At 38.9% G+C, this 24,867-nt stretch overlaps 1 annotated feature.

Annotated features, from left to right (window-relative positions):
- Nucleotides 19,122-19,181: a silencer, noted in NCBI's record as "silent region_14510". NCBI's record gives its function as "represses an Ori minimal core promoter by ATAC-STARR-seq in GM12878 lymphoblastoid cells {active_cell/tissue: GM12878}" and the evidence as "EXISTENCE:reporter gene assay evidence [ECO:0000049][PMID:35858748]".

Consider the following 24,867-nt stretch of genomic DNA (forward strand, 5'->3'; position numbering starts at 1 on the left):
TTGAGACCAGCCTGGGCAACATCGTGAGACCCTCTCTTAAAAAAGTTTTTTTTTAATAAGTATCCAGGTATGATGGCATGCACCTGTAATCCTAGCTTTTCTAGAGGCTGAGGCAGGATGATCAGTTAAGCCCAGGAGTTTAAGGCTGCAGTGAGCTATGATCACACCACTGCACTCCAGCTTGCGTGACAGAGTGAGACCCTAGCTGTAAAAAACAATGACAATATTTGTGGAAAGAAATTAAGAAAATTTTAAAATGTATTACTGTTATTCAGAGCATTGTTAATTCACATTAGTCTGATGTCATTTACAAACTACACATCCTGATTTGCTTCATTCAGTTCATGCCTGAAACATGTAAGAATGAATAGGCCGGGCGCGGTGGCTCATGCCTGTAATCCCAGCATTTTGGGAGGCCGAGGCGGGCGGATCACGAGGTCAGGAGATCGAGACCATTCTGGCTAAAATGGCGAAACCCCATCTCTACTAAAAATACAAAATATTAGCCGGGCGTGGTGGTGGGCGCCTGTAGTCCCAGCTACTTCGGAGGCTGAGGCAGGAGAATGGCGTGAACCCAGGAGGAGGAGCTTGCAGTGAGCCGAGATTGCGCCACTGCACTCCAGCCTGGGCGACAGAACGAGACTCCGTCTCAAAAAAAAAAAAAAAAAAAAAAAAAAAAAAAAAAAAAAAGAATGAATATCTGGCTGGGCGCCGTGGCTCATGCCTGTAATCCCAGCACTTTGGGAGGCTGAGGCGGGCGAATCATGAGGTCAGTTGATCGAGACCATCCTGGCTAACAAGGTGAAACCCCGTCTCTACTAAAAATACAAAATATTAGCCGGGCGTGGTGGGAGGGTGCCTGTAGTCCCAGCTAATGGGGAGGCTGAAGCAGAAGAATGGCGTAAACCCAGGAGGCGGAGCTTGCAGTGAGCTGAGATTGCACCACTGCACTCCAGCCTGGGCGACAGAGCGACACTCCGTCTCAAAAACAAACAAACCAACCAACCTAATATCTAACATTTACTGAACACCATGTGCCAGATGCTATTTTAAGACCTTAAAGCATGAATTCATCTAAGTTTTACAACAACCCTATGGGGTAGGTAGTATTATTATTATCATTACAGATAAGGACAGACTTGCTGGAAGATTAAAAGACTTGCCCCTACCTGGCTGAGGCAGTGTTTGCCAGGTTACTGTTCTGTCAAGCTCCTCTTTCCCCTCCCCCGCCCCCACTTTTTTTGTGAGACGGCGTCTTGCTCTGTAGCCAGGCTGGAGTGCAGTGGCGCAATCTTGGCTCACTGCAGCCTCCACCTCCCAGGTTCAAGCAATTCTCCTGCCTCAGCCTCCTGAGTAGCTGGGATTACAGGCACACACCACCACGCCCAGATGATTTTTTTTTTTTTTTTTTTTTTGTAGCTTTAGTAGAGATGGGGTTTCACCATGTTGGCCAGGATGGTCTCGATCTCTTGACCGAGTGATTCGCCCACCTCGGCCTCCCAAAGTGCTGGGATTCCAGGCCTGAGCCACCATGCCTGGCCTCCCTTCCTTTTTTTATACTGTCCTCTTTGGAAGCAAGTCACTAAGTGCAGCTCACTCTTAGGGAGAGGGGAGTTTTGCTTTCCCTGTATTCTCTTTTACATCGCCTGCCTTGAATTTTCTCACAGACCATGACCTTGGTTGATTTTCTCCTTATCATTTAGATATTCTAAATATAGGTCTAACCAAATGCCCTTAGTCTATCTCCTTTCCCCACTCAGTAGACCATCTCATCCATGCCAGTGGCTTCTCTGTCTTCTCCTCCATGCTAGAGTCTCTCAAAGGCATAACCTTGACTGAGGCTTTCTTCTGAGGCCCAAGAGAAATTATCTCTGCCCAGAGGCCTGCAAGCATGTGACAGTTCTACCTTCTGAGAACTGAACGTTTCCTTTTCTTCCCTTCTCCATTTCTATTAATAGCTTCTTTAATTGCTAAGTTGTTTAGTCATGAAACTTCAGAGTGGTATCAAGTCTTTCTTGCTTGCACCTAATTCAGTGCTTATCATGTCCCTGAAATCCTCCTTAGGAAATATCTCACTGATCTCTTCCTTTTTATCCCCATGGTTAACCCCAGAGTCAGGGCCTCAATGTCTCTTATCTAGGTAGTTTCAGCTGGTAACTTACCACATGCCTCTTTTCTCACAGTATATTCTATGCCCATGGTCAGATGATTATACAGTAGAGCTGAAATTATAGTATTCTGATTTTAAAATCTTCAGTGGCTCCTTAGTAGTGAATCTAATACAGTCCCCTATATATATTCTCCAGGCAAGTGCTGTGTCTCAGTTACTTCTTGTTATCAATGCTAGCATTTGCATAGCATTTGCATAGAGTAAATCATTTTGACAGGTTACCTTGCTTTACATTATATTGAATATCCTTTAAAATGAGAAATAGTGCCTAGATAATTACTGTGAACAATGCCCTTGGTCCTACACAACACTATCAATAATGGACCCCTTTTCTTTCCCTTCCTCTCCCCTTCCCTTCTTTTCCTCCTCTCTGTCTTCCTTCCTCCCTTGTCTTGCCTCGCACATGCTCTACTACCACCACCGTTACCAAAGGAGGTACAAGCATTTTACTGAACACTAGTGGGTAGAGACAAAAAGTGTTGAAATATGGCTCCTTTCAGCCAAGGTGGAAACATGTTCTTCACTGTGATATGTAAGTCACCAACCATTCTAGCCCTTACCTCCAAATACTTCCATACTCTGCTTATTGTTATCAAAATATGTCTTACATACACAAAGATGGGAACAATCAACAATGGGGCCTACTTGAGGGGGGAGGTGGGAGGGAGGGCATGGGTCAGAAGGCTACCTATCAGTTACTATGCTCATTATCTTAGTGACAAGATCATTCAAACACCAAGCAATTTACCCATATAACAAACCGGCACATGTACCCCCTGAACCTAATGCAAAAGTAGGAAAAAAATGTCTATGTAAATTCTGTTTTTAAGCAAATTAATTTATCTTGAATGCCCTGCTTTTGGAGACAACCCCATTACACACCCACCCACCCCCACACACAGATATCTCTCTTGTCTTTGAAGACATATAGCATTCTGTTTATATTAATGCATGGGGCTTTCTTTACAAAAGTATAGTCCTTTGTGTACATGTCTTTTGTCCTTTGCCAGACTGGTGGTTTCTCGAGGCAAGTGCTGTGTCTCAGTTACTTCTTGTTATCAACTCTAGTGTTTGCATAGAATGGACACTCAGTAAATCATTTTGACAAGTTACCTTGCTTTATGTTGTATTGAAAATCCTTGAAATGAGAAACAGTGCCTAGATAATTACTGTGAACATTGCCCTGGGTCCTATATAACACTATCAACAATGGACTGTATTTTATATCCAACTGAGTACACATCAAATAATTATCTGGCTGACATATAAGTATTGTCAGAAATTATTTTCTTTTATCATTAAAAAAAGTTAAGTGATAAGAACCAAAGAGAAACACATAGTCTAGGGTGTCTGTATGCTTTAGTAGTTTTTATTTAACAGATCTTTAAGTCCCTTTGTTAGCCAAGATATTTTAAGCACTTTCTAATATTTAATTGTGTAACATAACCATGGTTTTAGATTTAGCATCTAGGCAATTTTTCTCTTTTGTGTACTTTACAGAATTCATTTCAGATATAATTTTCAGTGTTGAATAATAACATTTTAAATCAACCCCAAGATAAAAGTTACAGTACAACATAAAAAATGAAGCCAGTTTTTCTGTGTTTCCCATTGGCGAATTACTGTTTTTTCTGCCACCAGACTTCATCTAATGATGTGACCTTTACCATGCTAATAGACAGCAAACAAAAATCTGCCAAATTGTGATAAAATACAGGTTTTAAATCTAAAATAAATTAAGCTAAAAAGACTTGTAAAGGTCAAATGCATGGAAAGAATTAAGTTGAAACAGTGATTTGTGTTAAACACACGTTGTACCAGTTTTTTCCCAAGGTTATTTTTGAACTCTTAATGTTTAATAACTGTACAAGGAAATGCAATTTTTTAAAAAAGTAACACTATAGTAGTGTTGACTTATCTTTGTGGGGCTCAAATGTTAGTTTATTCAGCAACTCTTTATTGTGCTCCTAATATGTGCCAGGCAATGCAATACAGCAGTGAAGACCTCAGTAATGATCTTGATCTCTTGCCACTTATGGTTTAATAGGAGGTACAGATAAACCTTCAACTAAATCATACAACAGAGCTAGGCTGTGAAAGAGGAAATGCAGGTGGAAGCTGTACCTATCTAACCCAGGCTGCTAAGCTGAGTCCTGAAGATAAGACGGAGGAGTTTGCTAGGCATAACAGAGTGGGAAGTGTGGTGCATACATAAAAGGTACAGAGGTACAAAGGTACAGAGGAGAAAGAAATGTGCATTCCGAAATGGAAGGAAGTTCATCATGGTGGAGATGAGTTGAGAGAATGAAGGACTATAAATGAGTGGTTCTTAATCAAGGCAGACTTTGGCCCCAGGGAACATTTGTCAATTTCTGGCAACACTTTTGGTGTCACAAGTGGCAGAGGGGGCTGCTATTAGCTTGTAGTGGGTAGAGGTCAGGGAAGCTGCTAAACATCCGCCAGTGCACAGGACAGCCTCCACAACAAAGACCAGCTCTCAAGGTCAGTAATGCTTAAGCTAAGAAACTCTGTAATATTAAAAGATAAACCTGTACACTTGGGGTTAGATTACAAAGCTACTGAAGGAATTTGGGATTTATTCTAGGAATTTGGGGGCACCACTGAAAGATTTTAAGCACATGTTGTTTGTCACTCTGAGAACCACTTTATTGTTATGGCTGAACCTCAGTATTTTAAAATCTATACTAAGTCTCACTCATGTGGGCTAACCATTGTGCCTACTACAAATGACATCTCCCTATTTTACAAAGGTGGAAAGAGCATCATTGTGAAATGTTCGCTAAAAGTTTAAAAAAGAAGATGAATTAATTATTTGATCCTCACCAGTCACAACATAATTATTTCAAAAACGTGTATTTATTTAATTGGGCTCCTTCCTGTCACACAGGGTTGAGCGTGGGGGGTCTACTCTCATGAATCTAAAGCACTTCTGGAGATTAATGGAAAATACACTGGGCCAAGGCAAGGTTACAACCTGAAATAAATAACTAAGCTTGTACATTCAGAGCAAAGGGTTTCCTAATTTAAAAAAAAACTTAGTTCCAGACTCTTTTGAACATCTGATGACACTATGGCCTCTTTTTATTTTTATTTTTATTTTTATTTTTTTTACAGAAATATGCACTTATACTCCCAAGTATTTAACTTCAGAGGCTCACAGACCCTAGAGAGATACAGTGGCTTCTCACTTGATACTGATGTTCCTAGAAATATCTAATGGCCAGATTTATAACAATAGACATTTGCCAAAAAAAAAAAAGTATAGCATAATTTAGAATCAATCAGAGAAAGCTTAGCATTTCTTAATCAAGGAGCAACTCTTTCCAAAAATGCTCATCAAGATACCATTTACGTCAACTTGTAAAATATAAATAATGTTGCATCACAGCAAAAAAAGTCTAGGGAAATGAGCAATTTTTTTATGACCCATAATGAAGACAATGTGTTGCTCTGGTTACAATAACCTCTGTGAGAAACAATTCTGTAAACCATGTGCTTTCTGCTGATTCCTTTCCATCTAATCATTACTTTCTCTAAAAATAGTGATTGATTATAGGCTCCGTGTCTTGCAAATTGGAAGAAAGGGTGAACTGATACGTGCTTGAGTTCATCACAGTTTTTTTGTTCTACAATCAAGTACCAGACTTTGGATTCCCTTTACCTTCTTTGACTGCAGATGTCCCAATGGTCTTAGTCATGACGAAACTGCCCCCAAACACCCGCATCTTATACAGACACACATGCACACACACATACACACACATATGTGTGCACACACACACACACCCTCTTCAGTTCTTTGAAGGGCTTAATGCATGCTTATATAAAGGTTTCTATCTATTTTGATGCCATCACCATTAACTCAATTCTACTTCTTGATTTGCCAGTGTGCCCTATCATTTTTCTCACTTGCTAGTTCTGTTCAGAGAATCTGTGTCAGCTTTACCTCCAATTCTCACTGTGATTTCTAGTAATCTGAACCACTTGAACCTGATTCCATTATATTGGGATTTTGTGTACTATAAATATTAGTCATAGGCCAGGTGCAGTGGCTCATGCCTGTAATCCCAGCACTTTGGAAGGCCAAGGCAGGAGGATTGCTTGATCCCAGGAGTTCAAGACCAGCTGGGGCAACATAGGGAGACCATGTATCTACAAAAAAAAAAATGTTTAAAAGTTAGCTGGGTGCAGTGACACATGCCTGTAGTTGCAGCTACTGAGGGCTGAGAAGGAAGGATTGGTTGAGCCCAGGAAGTCATGGCTGCAGTGAGCTGTGATTGTGCCACTCTACTCCAACCTGGGCAACAGAGTAAGACCCTGCCTCAAAAAATAAAATAAAGTAAAATAAAATAAAATAAAATAAGTCAAAATCGAGGTATCAGTGGGGGCTGCAGTTCTCCCCTGGCACTCAGGGTCCTCTTAGGAGCTTCTTGCTTACTTGCAGAACTCATTTCCCTCTCATGCTTTTTATGTGACTGGCTCCACCTTCAGACCCGCAATGGCAGGGAGAGCTCTCATGCTTCCCGTCTCTCTGACTTCATGTTCTGCCACATATCCCTGACACCAGCTTGAGAAAGTTCTCTGCTTTTAAGGGCTTATATGATTAAATTCGGCCAACCTGCATAACCCAAGATATTCCTTCCATCTTAGGTCTGTAGCCATTTACCATGCAGCATAATATGCTCATAGGCCTCAAGGATTAAGATGTGGACATCTTTCAGGAGCATTCTTCCTACCAGAGAAACCTACAGGTAAAATGGCATGGACATTCAGAGAGAGAGAGAGAGAGAGAGAGAGAGAAAGAGAAGGGTCAGTTTTAATTAGGAATGTGAAAGAGCTAGTCAATTAGAACTATGAGAGGTAGAACAATTTTAGCTGGGCTTCGAGTTACAGATCAAATTTTGGTTGGTGGAGATGAAGTTGGGGGATGCATTTCAGATGAAGGTGTTTAGAGAAATGATGAGAAGTCAAACTTGGGGTAGGAAGGAGGACAAAGTAGGTTGGAGTCAAGGAGTAGAAGACCTTAAATTATGGGTCAATAGTTTACTCGTACTAAACATATAAACTATACCTTAAGTAAAAATAAGTCTTAAAATTAAATATTAAACAGAAACATCCTTAATTGCTACCAGTGAATTCTGAGAAAAGTCAGTTTGCAATAGTTGGATACATTTAGCAGCAGGAAGGATAATGTTACTGGTATGATGTGGGTTGTGGGAAAGGTCTGAGAATTGATGAATCCAACTACCGAAGTGGTTCCTTTTACCAACTCCTATGTAAGGACTTCTGATTAAGATTTGATATTTTCTATGAGGTGATGCCTCAGATTTTACACTATTGTAAAAGCCTGTTTCCACCATAAATGCGGAAATGTGTTGCAGGTTATCTATTTCTTCTTTCATTCCTGAAAACCTGAAAATAATCAATTGTATTATGACTTGAAAGTCTAGAGATGAAAAAAAAATACAAAAGATATAATAGAAGGAAAATTCCTGTTTACAGTAGCAGCCGAAAAGATAAAAGGAAATGAACTTATGAAACATGCAAGATTTAGATGAAGAACACTTCAAAATGCTGTCAACAGACTAAAAAAAGAATCAAATTAATGGAAATATGTACTATTATGTTCTTAGATCAAGAAGACTAAATAGAAAGACATCAATTTTCCTATGTTAATTCAAAATTTAATATGTTATTATGTCAATAAAATATTGTTTTCTTTCATTTTTACTGGAAAAACTACATAAAAATTTGTATGAAAAAATAAATGAGAATATTCAAAAATAAAAATTCTAAAAAAGGAAAGCTGATAGATGGGACTAGCCCCATCAGATAGCAAATTACACCTAAGTGTTTCAATAGCTTAAACACTATAGTAGCAGTTCAAGACTAGACAGGGAATCCAATGGAACAGGACAGTGCAGAAATAGACCAAAACACATGCCATATTATAAAGAAGCCATCTTAGGTCAATGGAAAAAAATATGAATTAGTCACTAAATGGTACTGGGACAACTGGCTAGCTATCTAGAAAAAAAACTGTATCTATAGAATACAGAATTCCAATCTACAGAATAAACTCCAAGTGGATCAAAAATATCAATGTAAAAAGTGAAATCATAAAAACATTAGAAGAATAAATAAGAATATTCCTTTATGATCTTAGAAGCTCAGAAGCCATAAAACCAAAGGTATATATAATGATTTTAACAATTTTTTCATGGCTAAAAGCAACATAAGCTAAGTCAAAATATGGAGTTGTTTAGAGGAAATGATGAGAAGTCAAACTTGGGGTAGGAAGGAGCACAAAATAGGTTGGAATCAAGGAGTAGAAGACCTTAAATTATGGGTCAACAGTTCACTCGTACTAAACATATAAACTATACCAAACTATAAACTACACCAAAGCAATATTTGAAATAGCAAAAAAAAAAAAAAAAAAAAAAAAAAAAAGAAACACTTTAAATGTCATTTGTAGGGACCAGTTAGTTGATAAACCATGTTTGATTCATATAATGGAATGCTATGCTGCTATCAAAAAAAAAATGAGAGTTTCGTATGTATTGACATAGGAAGAACTCCTAGATATGTTATGGAGTGAAAACAGCAAAGTGTAAAATATTGTCTTAGTATGCCACCTTGTGTATAAAAAGGAGGACATTAAGAATACATATTTATAGTTGCTTGTATATGTCACGTGCGTCTGTGTGAAGAGACCATCAAACAGGCTTTCTGTGAGCAATAAAGCTTTCTAATCACCTGGGTGCAGGCGGGCTGAGTCTGAAAAGAGAGTCAGCAAAGGGAGATAGGGTTGGGGCCATTTTATAGGATTTGGGTGGGTAATGGAAAATTACAGTCAAAGAAGGTTTTTCTCTTTCAGGCAGGGGCGAGGGTCACAAGGTGATCAGTGGGGGAGCTTCTGAGCCAGAAGAAGGAATTTCACAAGAATAATCGCTCAGTTAAGTTGGGGCAAAAATAAATCACAATGGTGGAATGTCATGAGATAAGGCAGGAACTGGCAATTTTCACTTCTTTTATGATTCTTCACTTGCTTCAGGCCATCTGGATGTATATGTGCAGGTCACAGGGGATACGATGGCTGAGCTTGGGCTCAGAGGCCTGACATTCCTGTCTTCTTATATTAATAAGAAAAATAACATAAAATAGTATTGAAGTGTTGGGGCAGTGAAAATTTTTGGGGGGTGGTATAGAGAGAGAAAGGGTGATGTTTCTCAGGGTTGCTTCAAGCGGGATTAGGGGCGACATGGGAACCTAGAGTGGGAGAGATTAAGCTGAAGGAAGATTTTGTGGTAAGGGGTGATATTGTGGGGTTATTAGAAGGAGCATTTGTCATTTAGAATGATTGGTGATGGCCTGGATACAGTTTTGGATGAATTGAGAGACTAAATGAAAGACACAAGGTCTGAATAAGAGAAGGAGAAAAACAGGTATTAAAGGACTAAGAATTGAGAGGACCCAGGACACCCAATTAGAGAGTGCCCAAGGGGGTTCAGTGTAATTACTTGCTTGGTTGGCAAGTTTTTGGGCTCTATCCTTGAGTTTTTTTTATGTTGTCATATACCAGGCCAGACTGATTTAGGTAAAACAACACTTTTCATTTAAAAATCTACAGAGTCCCCTTTTTTTAGCAGTGAGTAAGTTGAGGCTTTGGCGATTTTGGAGGAAAGAGAAATGCAAAGCCAGCAATTGTTTTTTAAAGAAGGATTAGAAACAGCTAGGAGACAGTGAGTGAGATTGATAGTGTGGTGGAGACAGCTGGGGAGAGGTAGAGGGTGGCATAAGAATGGGAATGAGAATAAGAGTGAGTATAAAAGTAAAGAATAGGACTTCATTGGATGAAAGTATTGGAGTGTACCCTGTCAGCAAAGATCATCTATCCACTTTAAGAGTGGCAGTTTAGGAATAGCACCAGGCGATATTAGCTGTGATGGCTTGGAGAAACAGTGTAAACAGGCAGTGTAAACAAGAGCAGGACATTTATGAGTAGTTGAGAACAGTGAATAGGAGTATGACTAGACAGAAGACAGTAGGGATGACAAGTTTTTGGGGTGCAGTCCAAGTTGGGCTGGTGTCTGGAATGAGACTGGGGCCTAAAAAAGAGGAGTGTCCATACAGGAGCTCAAATGCGCTGTACCCTCGTAGCATCCTGAGGGCAGACCCAAGTTCTGAGAAGGGCAAGTGGTAAAAGTATTGTCCAGTCCTTTCTAAGTTGGAAACTGAACTTGGTGAGGTGTGTTTTTAAAAGACCATTAGTCCATTTTACCTTTCCTGAAGACTGAGGACCGTAAGGGGTCTGAAGGTTCCACTGAATACCAAGAGCCTGAAAAACTGCTTGGGTGATTTGACTAGTAAAGGCCTGTCCGTTATTGGACTGTATAGAGGTGGGAAGGCCAAACTGAGGAATTATTTCTGACAGAAGGGAAGAAATGACCGTGGTGGCCTTCTCAGACCCTGTGGGAAAGGCCTCTACCCATCCAGTGAAAGTTTCTACCCAGACCAAGAGGCATTTTAGTTTCCTGACTCAGGGCATGTGAGTAAAATTAATTTGCCAGTCCTAGGCAGGGGCAAATCCCTGAGCTTGATGTATAGGGAAGGGAGGGGGCCTGAACAATCCCCGAGGAGGAGTAGAATAGCAGATGGAACACTGAGAAGTGATTTCCTTGAGGATAGATTTCCACGATGGAAAGGAAATGAGAGGTTCTAAGAGATGGGCTAGTGGCTTGTAACCTACATGGAAGAGGCTATGAAATGACAACAGAATAGAATGGGCCTGTGAGGCTGGAAGGAGATATTTTCCTTGGTCTAAGAACTATTTGCCTTGTATGGGAAGAGATTGATAGGTGGAAGTTTCAGTGGGGGAGTAGGTGGGAGTGACTGATGAGAAGGAGAAAAACTGGTCGTGAGGGACAGAAGTTGGAAAGCTAGCTGCTTCTTTAGCTACCTTATCAGCATAAGTATTGCCCTGAGCAATGGGATCTGATGCCTTTTGATGGCTCTTCCAGTGAATGACTCCAACTTCCTTTGGAAGTAAAGCAGCCTTGAGAAGAGTTTTTATTAAAGAGGCATTGATGATGGAGGACCCTTGCATAGTGAGGAAACCTCTTTCTGCCTATATAACAGCATGGTGGTGCAGGATATGGAAGGCATATTTAGGGTCAGTATAAATATTGATGTGTAGTCCTTTTGCAAGAGTGAGGGCTCAAGTTAAGGCAATGAGTTCGGCTTGTTGAGAGGTAGTGGAGGGGTCAGAAAGTATATGTGTCAGATGTGAGGAAGAAAATAGATTTTGGAAGTTATGAGAACTGTAGAGAGTGAGTTGAGCATAGTTTGTGATTTTGAGGGCCTCTAAAAGTATTAGGGCAGTGGCAGCCACCGCGCGGAGACATGATGGCCAGCCTAAAACAGTAAGGTCAAATTGTTTGAACAAAAAGGCTACAGGGTGTGGTCCGGCTCTTGTGTAAGAATTTTGACCACACAGCCCTGCACTTCAGCTGTGTGTAATGAAAAAGGGTTGGAATGAGTTAGGGAGAGCTAGTGTGGGAGTAGTCTCTAAAGCTGTCTTCAAGGAACAGAAAGAGGAGTGGGGAAAGGATTTAGGATCTACGGGGTCAGCTAGGTTTCCTTTTGTGGGTTTTTATAACGTTTTTGTTAGGATGGCAAAACCAGGTATCTAAAGGCAAAAGCACCCAACCATGCCCAGGAAGGAAAGGAGTTGTTGTTTTGTAGAAGGGGTTGGGGTTTCAGAGATCAGTCGGACATGATTGGCAGGAAGAGCACGTGTGTTTTTGTGAAGAATTATGCCGAGATAGGTAATGGATTAGGCTTGACTGAAGTAATGGGGGCTGTCTGCGAAGCCTTGTGGCAGTACAGCCCAGGTAAGTTGCTGAGGCTGATGGGTATCAGGGTCAGTCCAAGTGAAATCAAAGAGAGGCTGGGATGAAGGGTGCAAAGGAATAGTAAAGAAAGCATGTTTGAGATCCAGAACAGAATAATTGGTTGTGGAGGGAGGTATTGAGGATAGGAGAATATATGGGTTTGGCACTACGGGGTGGATAAGCAAAATAATTTGGTTGATAAGGTGCAGATCCTGAACTAACTTGCAAGACTTGTACAGTTTTTGGACAGCTAAAATGGGGAATTGTAAGGAGAGTTTATAGGCTTTAAAAGGCCATGCTGTAACAGGTGAGTGATAACAGGCTTTAATCCTTTTAAAGTGTGCTGTGGGATGGGATATTGGCATTGAACGGGGTAAGGGTGATTAGGTTTTAAAGGGATGGTAAGGGGTACATGATCGGTTGCCAAGGAGGGAGTAGAGGTGTCCCATACCTGTGTATTAAGGTAGGGAGATACAAGGGGAGAATGCGAAGGAGGCTTTGAACTGGGGAAAAGGGCAGCAATGAGGTGTGACTGTAGCCTAGGAATAGTCAGGGAAGCAGATAATTTAGTTAAAATGTCTCAACCTAATAAGGGAACTGGGCAGGTGGGGATAATTTAAAAAGAGTGCATAAAAGAATGTTGTCCAAGTTGGCACCACAGTTGGGGAGTTTTAAGAGGTTTAAAAGCCTGGCTGTCAATACTCACAACAGTTATGGAGGCAAGGGAAACAGGCCCTTGAAAAGAAGGTAATGTGGAGTGGGTAGCCTCTGTATTGATTACGAAGGGGACGGACTTACCTTCCACTGTAAGAGTTACTGAAAGTGTCTGTGATGGTCCAGGAGGCTTCCGAGGTGATGGGGCAGCATCAGCCTTCAGCCACTAAGCCGAGAAGATCTGGGAAGGAGTCAGTCAGAGAGCCTTGGGCCAGAGTTCCAGGAGCTCTGGTAGTGGCTGCAGGGTGAGTTGGACAGTCCGATTTCCAGTGGGGTCCTGCACAGATGGGACATGGCTTAGGAAGAATCCCAGGCTGTGGGCATTCCTTGGCCCAATGGCCAGATTTCCAGCACTGAAGTAAGATCCTGGGGGAGGAGGTCCTGAAGGAATGCTTGACCACTGTGGTTTAGGCATTTTGAAGTTCTTGTGTGCTGGAGATGTGGCTGGGGTTTTTCTCACAGTGGAGGCAAGGAATTGCAACTCAGAAATATGTTGCTACTTGGCTGCCTCTACTCTATTATTGTACACCTTGAAAGAGAGGTTAATTAAATCCTGTTGTGGGGTTTGAGGGCCAGAATCTAATTTTTGGAGCTTTATTTAATGTCGGGAGTGGATTGGGTAATAAAATGCGTATTGAAAATAAAACAGCCTTCTGACCCTTCAGGGTCTAGGGTTGTAAAGCATCTCAGGGTTGCTGCCAAATGAGCCATGAACTGGGCTGGGTTTTTATATTTAATGAAAAAGAGCCTAAACGCTAACTGATTTGGGAGAGGTTGGATAAAGAAAAAGAAGCATTAACCTTGACTATGCCTTTAGCTCCAGCCACCTCTTTAAGAGGAAATTGTTGGGCAGGTTGGGAAGGGCTAGTTGCAGAATGAAACTGTAAGCCAGACCAGGTGTGAGAAGTGGAGGTGATAGAAGGATTATAGGGTGGGGGAGCGGAGGCAGAGGAAGAATTGGAGCCTGATTCAGCCTGGCAGGGAGTCACCTGAGGAGGAGCAGTCTGGGGAGGAGGGGAGAAGTCAGATGGGTCGGTAGAAAAGGAAGATTGAAAAGACTCAGCGATGCTTGGGGTTGGGACTGAGGGGACAGGCGGGAGGGAAAGAAGGAGGTTTTGGGATCATTCGCATTGGGAACAGAGACTAGGGAGGGACTGATGTGTAAAAGAATGCCTGGACGTCAGGCACCTCAGACCATTTGCCCATTTTACGACAAGAATTATCTAGATCTTGTAGGATGGAAAAATCGAAAGTGCCATTTTCTGGCTATTTGGAACCATTGTGGAGTTTGTATTGGGGTTAAGCGGCATTGCAGAAGAAAATAAGTCATTTAGGTTTTAGGTCAGATGTGAGTTGAGGAGGTTTTAAGTTCTTGAGAACACAGGCTAAGGGAGAAGAAGGAGGAATGGAGGGTGGAAGGTTGCCTATAGTGAAGGAGGCAAGCCCAGAGAAAAGAGAGGGTAGAGATGTGGAGAGAAGGGGTGGGGGGTTCTTGCCCCCCATGAAAGTGGTGCTTGCCACTAAGGGTGAAGGATCAAGGGAGGTGTCCCCGCGGTGATCAGACACCTCTGAAACGTGGGTGAATAATCAAGCATGCGTCCCCGCAGTGATTAATGACCAAGGGAAGACTGTCTTCCCGAGTCTGTGACCGGTGCCACTTTTGGGTTCACGGATAAAACGCATCTCCTCTGTCTCTACCAGAGAAGGAAAAGAACTGAAATTAAGAGAACGGAGAGATTGAAGGATGGCACCAAGATTGAAAGGAGAAAGAGATTGAGGGATAGTGAGAGAGGTTGGAGAAGAGAGTAAAAAGAGGCTGCTTACCTGATTTAAAATTGGTGAGATGTTACTTGGGCTGGTTGGTCTGAGAACGAGAGATTGTAGGTGGATCTTTCTCATGGAGCAAAGACCAGGAGGACAGGGGATTGATCTCCCAAGGGAGGTCCCCTGATCCGAGTCATAGCACCAAATGTCATGCACGTCCGTGTGAAGAGACTATCAAACAGGCTTTGTGTGAGCAATAAAGCTTTTTAATCACCTGGGTGCAGGCAGGCTGAGTCCGAAAAGAGAGTCAGCAAAGGGAGATAGGGGTGGGGCCATTTTATAGGATTTGGGTCGGTAGTGGAAAATTACAGTCAAAGGGGGTTTTTCTCTTGCAGGCAGGGGCGGGGGTCACAAGGTGCTCAGTGGGGGAGCTTCTGGGCCAGGAGAAGGAATTTCACAAGATTAATCGCTCAGTTAAGGTGGCGCAGAAACAAATCACAATGGTGGAATGTCATCAGTTAAGGCAGGAACCGGCCATTTTCACTTCTTTTGTGATTCTTCACTTGCTTCAGGCCTTCTGGGTATATATGTGCAGGTCACAGGGGATACGATGGCTTAGCTTGGGCTCAGAGGCCTGACAGTATACAGATGCAGAAACTTTGGAAGTGTACATAAGAAACCAGTAATAGTGCTTATTTGTTCAGAGGCTGGGAAAGTGAGTACAGATGGTCACAGGTGAGAATAAGATTTTTCTCTGAATCCCTTTTTATATTATTTTATTTTGTACTACTGATTCAAAAACTTACCCCCAAAATAAGATCTGGCAAATACCTTGCCTTTTCTAGGCAGCTCTAATTCATTCCATCAATTCTTGTTTTATTAAGTCATCATAGGGACTATGTGCCAAGCACAGAATTCTTTTCTGGCATCAGAATTGTACAATATTGACTTAAAAGTAATTGACCTAGAATACAGTACCACATGGTGCCAAAATACAAAAGGGTCTGTGTAATACTCAGTTCGAGAAAGGTAAGGTCCTTTTGGGTTTTGGGCCTCTCTGGCTCTCATAGCCACTTCAGAACAGTGAGTTATAACCTTGTAACTTTCTGAATCCATCTACCAGGCTATAAAACTCCAGGGATCTGGTGAGCCAGGCTACTTGGGGCCAGGAATTGGGCGAGTCAATCCATGACTAGGATACAGAGTTAGCAAATAAGGGATTGGCCAGGATTCCCACTCTGAATTTCTTTCTCTCTTCCCCTGGCCTCAATGATCTACCCTGACCACTTACCTCTATAGACCCCTATGAGTGCTGACATTGTGTAAGGGTCAAAAGAGAGAAATAGGGAGGAAGTCAGACTGAGAGGGAGAAAATTGGCATTTGCAGGTTCTACATACATGAGTGGTATTTTTAATTAATGAGATTTTTGGAGACACTTTCATTAAAACCATTTTTATATTTTTAGGCTTAAATTTTTTGAAAAGTTAAATTCTAGGCAAAGAGGCCCAGATCCTTTCAAATAGGGCAAGTTGTGGCTGAAGACCAATTACCTGCATGCAGAGGGCAGAAGACGGAAGGGAGCAGGCAAGCTTGGAATAAATGAGATTCCATTCCAATTAAATGAGGAGTCTCAGAAGCACCTCCCACAAGCTAGAATTACTGTGATGCCTGTTGATGTTTTAATCTCTTCTTTTCTGTCGGGTGAGAGGCATATAAAGAATCAGAGAAATAAGGAAGGCCAGTCACTTGAGAAACCACATAAGCTTTTTTTTTTTCTTTATAATTTTTAAGCATAAAGAGGCTGACTGAAATTGAGATGCGATTACTATACAAATGGCCTGAGAAGAACAAAGGCAACGGTGGTTTTGACAACTGACCATGGTGGATAAGATTTTAATTATTTAAAGAAATCCTAGAAAATCTTAAAAAAGAATCAGATGGAAAGAGAATCACTCAAGCTTTGAAAGGAAACCTAAGGTTAAAATTAACAAGGCACATTAAGAGCTGAAGATGAGTTAGAATAATACCCGATTTTACCTGGTATTTACCCTAGGTTTTCCTCTAAAATTGAGCATCTTGTTTAAAGAGAGTATTTCTTCATATTTCTAGATTTTTTTGTTTAATAGAGAATTCTACCTTGGAGGAAGCCTGAGTAGAAAATTTTGTTAAATTTGGTGACTGACTTAATCATGCCTTTGGGAAGACTAGCTATTCAGACCTTGCAGCTATAACTTAGACATCCTTCTGAAAAGGATGACAGCATCTGCCCCCAAAATAAAGAATTCAAATAGTGGGCAGAGTATCGGGAGAAACTTAGAGGCCACTGAAGTGTTAGCATAAACATGCAAATCTGCAAAATAACCTTGGTATTTTGCCAAGATTATTTTGCAGATTTGCATGTTTGCAAGCAACAGATATATACCATTTTGTATCTGTTGCTCAGAGGACAGCACTAAAATTGGCTCTTTAGGCAGATGCAGCTTTCAAAACAAGAATTAGATTTTAGGTCTTCAGAGTCTCAAAAACAAGAAAGGCAAACAAAACTTAGAGATGATTGTTGAAATATATTTAATATTTTACTTTTGCAACTTGAAAGCTAGTGACTTTTTTTTTTTTCTTTGAGATGGAGTCTCCCTCTGTCGCCCAGGCTGGGGTGCAGTGGCACAATCTCAGCTCACTGCAACCTCCACCTCCTGGGTTCAGATGATTTTCCTGCCTTAACCTCTTGAGTAGCCGGGGTTACAGGTGTGCACCACCATGCCTGACTAATTCTTGTATTTTTAGTAGAGATGGGGTTATACCATGTGGGCTAGGCTGGTCTCAAACTCCTGACCTCAGGTGATCCACCTGTCTTGGCCTCCCAAAGTGCTGGGATTACATGCGTGAACCACCGTGCTTGGCCAAAAGCTAGTGATTTTTATCTTTGCATTATTTTAATAAAGTAATTTTCAAAAGTTTTAAATGACATTGGAGCTCAGTTTGCAAGTTTATCTTCTATAGAATCTTACATACATAAACCAAAAACTAGAAATTTATTAGTTTTAACCTGTAAATTCACATTTATTACAGTTTTTACTTAAAAATAGACTGTTGACAAGCTGATAATTTGAAAACAGAAGCTGTCATTATAATAGTAGTTATGACAGTTGTAGTCCTTTGTCAGCTTCAAGACTCATCTGATTTTTGTATGTTATTTTGTTTGCACAATAGGGAGAAAAATCTTAATTCACTAAATAGGAGCAAATAGCTTTCTAACACACTCATTTTGCATTCTTTGGGTACTGGATTACTTAACTGATTTTGAAACACCACAAAGAATGGTAGATTGTTTTCCTACATTTATTCATTAATACTTCTAACTACTGTTCACATAATTAAGTGTTCAAATTTCAGAGAAGTTGATAAAAAGATATAATCAATTCTTTTGGTAGAAAATGCTTTTAAACTGTATCTTATAATGTGATGGTAAGTGGTGTTTTAAAAAAATCTTGTATACTTCAATGTTTGTCTATAAAATATAGAGTCACTTAAAATTTCAAGTAGTAAAATGGATTTTGCTTTTCATATTAAGTCCAAAATTTTGTTTCATTACTAAGGATGGTATAACTACAACCTGAACAGCCTTACAAATGTTATTTATGTTGTAAAAATTACTGTCAAGACAAAGAAGCTGATGTAAAATGTATAATCAAATGTGACAGATATCACACTCATGAATAATTAATAAAAAGCCACGTATGAAAAGCTACATGTATTTCAAAAAATTAATATTGCATTTATAAGAAGTTCAATTGTATGGAAAGAGATGTCCAAGCAAATATTATTTTGAAATTTGTGCCTGACAGCGAAAGATCAGGCATTAATGCTCTCCAATGTGTTAACATTTGGTATTTAGCACTTTTGAACAAGTTGGTTTGTGTGTTTGTGTGTTACAGTATAAATCACATCAAAAAAAGTATAAAGTCATGTTTGAATTAAACAACATTGTGTGACTCCTGAAGCACATTTTGAAATAGCTTTTAAGATATCTCAATAGTAGAGTCAGAGTTTTGGGACTTAGGATTGGAAACAATTACTACAAGCCTAAAATCCTGAGCTTTCATGTTGGTGTATAAATCCCATAAATCTCTTAATCACTCCTAGGGCAAGCTTTCATCTAATTTTCCCAAGAGAGAGTTATCAGACAAATTCTTGGAGTTCAATTAGGGCATGTTGGAGCTCTTCAGAGGATAGGTTTCATATAATTCTAATAAATCAATATGAATCCCAAGCTTGTATAATATAATTGTGTTAAATTCACTTCTTCAGAATGCTGTGCTATGACATTATGTCTTTAAATTGTTATCACAAAAGGCTGAATTTCTTTTCTAAAAAAAAGTAAAGTTAAACCTTCTATAAGTAAATAATAGGGCATTTTCTAAAGCTGTCTCACAGTGTATTTTTCTGGTTTGGTCTTTAGTTAATTTTACCACTGGTCTGTATCAACTAAAGGTATTTTATTTAAGATGTCACGAATAGTAATAATTACTGAAAAAGATATAGCACCTTAACTTAGGAGGCTGGTAATCTGTCAGAAGCGTAAAAATCATTAACACATGTATCCTTTACATAACTGAATTCACTTAAAAGGCAAACTACCAGGGTCTATAATTATAGCCTGATTACAACTTTCACTTCCTGTGTCAATTTCATGAAATGAAATCCATTCAGCGCACCAGCATGGCACATGTATACATATGTAACTAACCTGCACAATGTGCACATGTACCCTAAAACTTAAAGTATAATAAAAAAAATAAAAAAATAAAGTCAGCTCATAATAAAAAAAAATTGTCTTCATATCTCAGTTTGTTCTTCTTCCTGTTACTGTACTTTAGAAGAGTAATAAACTCTATTTAGCAACTCCTTTCCAAAAGTAGGCAATGTAAAATAAGTCAGCTTCTTCTAAAGCATTCATGTAAATGATTTTAGCCTTCCTCAGTCTTGACCTTTACTTACATTTCCCTCATTATGATAATTTTTCAAGCAATCTGTGAAAGATAATATCACAACTCTCACTTCCCCTAATTATAGGCTTGTTGTGAGAGCTGTATTTGCACTCTCCCACCTTCTTCCTGTTTTGTCCTTATGTTAATCTGTGAAAGAACTAATGGGCATAAATCCTTTAAAAATTATTTAATTCTGGTAAAAATACTTCACATGAGATCTACCCTCTTAGCAAATATTTAAGTGTACAATTATAGTTGACGATAGGTACGATGTTGTATTTGCATTTTTTTGTCTCTGTATTCTATTGACCAAGCTAGGCTCCTGAAGTGGTGTAGCACTATCTGGCATGGTGGATAGTGACATGAGAAGCCAAAAATGACTTCAGAAAGAGGGTAATTCAGAGGACTCATTAGCTTAGGTGCGAGGGAGACACACTACTGCATTGGAGTTGCATACAACTAAAGGGTTTGCTGGACAGCCAGATTTAGTCAGGCAAGTTCTGCCTTCTTGTTCAGATATGTTTTAGCTGGATAGAAAACACTTAAGAAATATCTATTAAGTAAATCCATTCACATAACCAGATATGGGAAAAAGCTGTGTTAGCATGTTCCTGGTATTGTAGAAACCCCATTTTTCACCAATGTACAAATAGAAGGCTCTGCTAAATAACTAATTATTACTTACTGCTATCCTAATAAAGGATAAGAAGAATGCCCATTTATCCAAGTGGGAAAAATTGAAATAATTATTTATTCTTGTTTTTGGAGTGTACTTATACATATATACTTGAGTGTGACTTTCATTCTGGAAACTCACATTGCTTAAAAAAAATTAAGCCACATTAAACTGAAGTTAAATAGTAGTCAAACTACGATTATCTGACTCAAGTGACAACACATTTATCTTTTTCCCATTCTTTCTTTGCTGATCAGTTCTTCAGTTCCAATATAGCTCCCCGTTGACTGCAGCAAAGCAACAGCCTTGATAGAGTTGATTTTTTTCTTCCATTTACTATTTCCCATCTTACTTATCACATAGGAAAAAAGAAGTGCTTTGCCATATATTGCAACTTCCAGAAAAACAAAATCTTCTTTATTTACATTAGAAAGCCCTGAAATAAGTGGAGCAGGTGAAATTGTCACAAAATTTGAAGGCATGAGTTAGCATGGTTAATCAGACATTCTATTCAAAGGTAAGGCACATAGGCTGTCTCATCTTTGACAGGAAGTATAGAGGACTAATGATTTTATCCATTCTTTCTCCCTCATTTTGCTTCATGCAATATACAAAAAATGATTCAGGTGGGTGAAAGACTTACATGTGAAAAGCAAAGCTTCTACGCAATTTTTTAAAAGGAGTTAGGGGAATATTTTTGTGTCATTTGCTAAGATTTGGTTGTTTGACCCCTCCAAATCTCATATTAAAATGTGATTCCTAATAAGGTGTTTGAGTCATGGGAGTGGATCCCTCATGAATGGCCTGGTGTTATCCTTGAGATAATGTGTGAATTCTTGTTCTATTAGTTCCCATAAGAACAAAAAAGAGCCTGGTGAAAAAATAAAATAAAAATAAAGATAAAAAAGAGCCTGGAACATCCCTGCCACCCCGTTGCTTCCTCTCTTTCCATGTGTCTCTGCACATGCCAACTCCCCTTCACCTTCCATTATGAGCGGAAGCAGCCTGAAGCCCTCACCAGAAGCAGATGCTGATGCCATGCTTCTTGTACAGGCTGTGAAACTGTGAGCGAAATAAGCTCTTTTTCTTAACAACTTACCCAGTTTTAGGTATTCCTTTATAGCAATACAAACATGGATTTAGATAGCACTGGAGCAAAAATGAACAGATCACAAGAGAAATGATTGGTAAATCTGACACATGAAAATTAAAAACTTGTATGTAAAAAAAGACACTGTAAACTAAGTTAAAAAATGACGACAAAAGGGAAAAAGATATTTCAAGACTTATAAGAAAAAGCATTCCTATCTAGAAACTGTAAACTCCTACAAGTCAATAAGAAGACAACGCAATTAAAAAATGGGCAAATAATATGAACAGGTAATTCACAGATGAGAAAACTCAAATAAACATATTAAAAGATGTCCAACCTCACTAGGAATGTGGGGAATTCAAACTAAAACAACAATGACCACATTTTATACTTCAAAATTTACAAGTCTATTAATACCAGGTTTTAGCTTGTAGAGAAAGAGGGAATTTTCATAAACTTCTGGCAGAAGTATAAATTGGTAAAACCACTTGGGAAAGCAATTTGGTAACACTTGGTAAAGAAAATAAACCTATCCACATTCAGGTATATTCCTTGACTTTTGCACATATGCATAAGGAGACATTATAAAGGTATTCATTACAGCAATGGAAACAACTAGATGAATGGCCACATAAATGACAAAATCCTATATGGTATCTAAAATGAATAAATATACCCAATACATATCAAAATATGATGTTCAGTGAAGAGCAAGTTTCACAATGTTTATTATTCAACTTGTATAAAAATATTAAGATATAGTTTATGCAGAAAAATATACAAATATGGACAGGAAAGATATAAGCCATCATCAGAATAGAGGTCATCTTTGGAGAGAGAAACATGGAGGGGATTGGAATAGGGGAAAGAAAAGAGGACATTCACTCTTCTCTGTAATATTTTATTTCATAAAAACAATTGCTGAAGCAAGCATGGCAAAATTAACATCTATCATTTGGAGTAATGAGGACATAAATATATATTATATTATCTTCTGTATTTTTTCTGCTTATTTTAATCATTTCATAACTAAGCAATAAAATAATAGCTGTACACTTTAAAGATAAATTAACGATAGATGCTCAAAACTAAAAATTTGAACTACTTAAAATATTTTATTTTCCAAAATAACAATTGATAAAAATTTTTTTAAAATTAAAAAACTGATTTAAAAAATAAAAAAGCTAAACATTACATAGCAGGACTTATAGAATATGGCCAATATGTTCTTTAGACAAAAATTGATTGTCTTTAATGCACTTACTTCAAGAGTTAATTCAGAATAATTCCTATAAAACCTGAGGCAAGTAGCTGAAGGAAATAACAAAGATGATTGTAGAAATCAATACTTTCAAAACTGGGTCTTTAGAAAAACAAAGAAAATAGAAAAATTTCTAGAACATTAAAGAGAACAAACAATAAAACCTAATAAGTGATATTAGAAATAAAAAAGGCATACCTACAGAAAGAAATAGAGAAGTAAAAATGAAAAGAGACTAATACACACACTGGTATGTGAACACATTTGAAAACAAAAAAAGAAATAAATCTTCTTAAAAATATACATATAAAACTTAAGAAGAAATAGGAAACCCAAATAAAAGGCAAACAAGGGAAAAATTAAGGATGGTATCAAAGGCTCTTGCATCGAATAGTATTATGAGTGAATTATTTAAGACGAAATACATATATATACCCACACATATATATATACACATATATACACACACACATATATATATACACACATATATATATATACATATATATATATGATTCCCCACCACAGAAAAATATGGAAAGCTACCCAGGTCATTTTCCAAAGCTAGCAAACCTTGAAATCTACATGTGTCAAAGATGGCATTAAAATGTTTCTATAGCTTTTTCTCACTTATAGGTATAGGGTGCACTAAAAAAGAATAATTAGCAATAGAATTAGCCAATATATTAAAATAATTCATCCTATGATAACAGTATGTTAACTTATCAGTAGAGCCAATAAGAAAAACACAGATGCAGCCTTAACAGGTCCTTAATCAGAGTTGGGATAAATTTTTTTTAATTATTATTTTTTTAACCTTATTTTTTTTAAATTTTACTTTGAGTTCTAGGATACATGTGCAGAACATGCAGGTTTGTTACATAGGTATACATGTGCCATGGTGGTTTCCTGTAGCCATCAACCCATCATCTAGGTTTTAAGCTCCACATGTATTAGGTATTTCTCCCACTGCTCTCCCTCCCCTTGCCCTCCACTCCCCAACAGGCCCCAGGGTGTGATGGTCCCCCACCGTGTCCATGTGTTCTCATTGCCCAACTCCCGCTTATGAGTGAGGACATGAGGTGTTTGGTCTTCTGTTCCTGTGTTAGTTTGCTGAGGATGATGGTTTCCAGCTTCATCCATATCCCTGCAAAGGACATGAACTCATTCTTTTTATGGCTGCATAGTATTCCATGGCATATATGTGCCACATTTTCTTTATCCAGTCTATCATTGATGGGCATCTGGGTTGGTTCTAAGACTTTGCTATTGTAAATAGTGCTGCAATAAACATACGTGTGCATGTGTCTTTATAGTAGAATGATTTATAATCCTTTGGGTGTATACGCAGTAATGGGATTGCTGGGTCAAATGGTATTTCTGGTTCTAGATTTTTGAGGAATCGCCACACTGTCTTCCACAATGGTTGAACTAATTTGCACTCCCAATAACAGTGTAAAAACATTCCTATTTCTCTACAGCCTTGCCAGCATCTTTTGTTTCCTGACTTTTTAATAGTCGCCATTCTAACCGGCATGAGATGGTATCTCATGGTGGTTTTGATTTGCATTTCTCTAATGACCAGTGACGATGAGCTTTTTTTCCATGTTTGTTGGCCAGATAGATGTCGTATTTTGAGAAGTATCTGTTCATATCCTTTGCCCACTTTTTGATGGAGTTGTTTGTTTGTTTTTCGTGTAAACTTGTTTAAGCTCCTTGTAGATTCTGGATATTTGACCTTCGTCAGATGGATAGATTGCAAAAATTTTCTCCCATTCTGTAGGTTTCTTGTTCACTCTGATGGTAGTTTCTTTTGCTGAGCAGAAGCTCTTTAGTTTAATTAGAACCCATTTGTCAATTTTGGCTTTGTTGTAATTGCTTTTGGTGTTTTAGCCATGAAGACTTTGCATATGCCTATGTCCTGAATGGTATTGCCTAGGTTTCCTGGAAGGGTTTTTATGGTTTTAGGTTTTACGTTTAACTCTTTAATCCATCTTGAGTTAATTTTTGTATAAGGTGTAAGGAAGGGATCCAGTTTCAGTTTTCGGCATATGGCTAGCCAGTTTTCCCAACACCATTTATTAAATAGGGAATCCTTTCCCCATTGCTTATTTTTGTCAGGTTTGTCAAAGATCAGATGGTTGTAGATGCTTGGTGTTATTTCTGAGGGCTCTGTTCTGTTCCATTGGTCTATATATCTGGTTTTGGTACCAGTATCATGCTGTTTTGGCTACTGTAGCCTTGTAATATAGCTTGAAGTCAGGTAGCATGAAGCTTTGTTAT

The sequence above is a fragment of the Homo sapiens genome, chromosome 3 (genome assembly GCF_000001405.40).
Source record: "Homo sapiens chromosome 3, GRCh38.p14 Primary Assembly".
Lineage (NCBI taxonomy): Eukaryota > Metazoa > Chordata > Mammalia > Primates > Hominidae > Homo > Homo sapiens.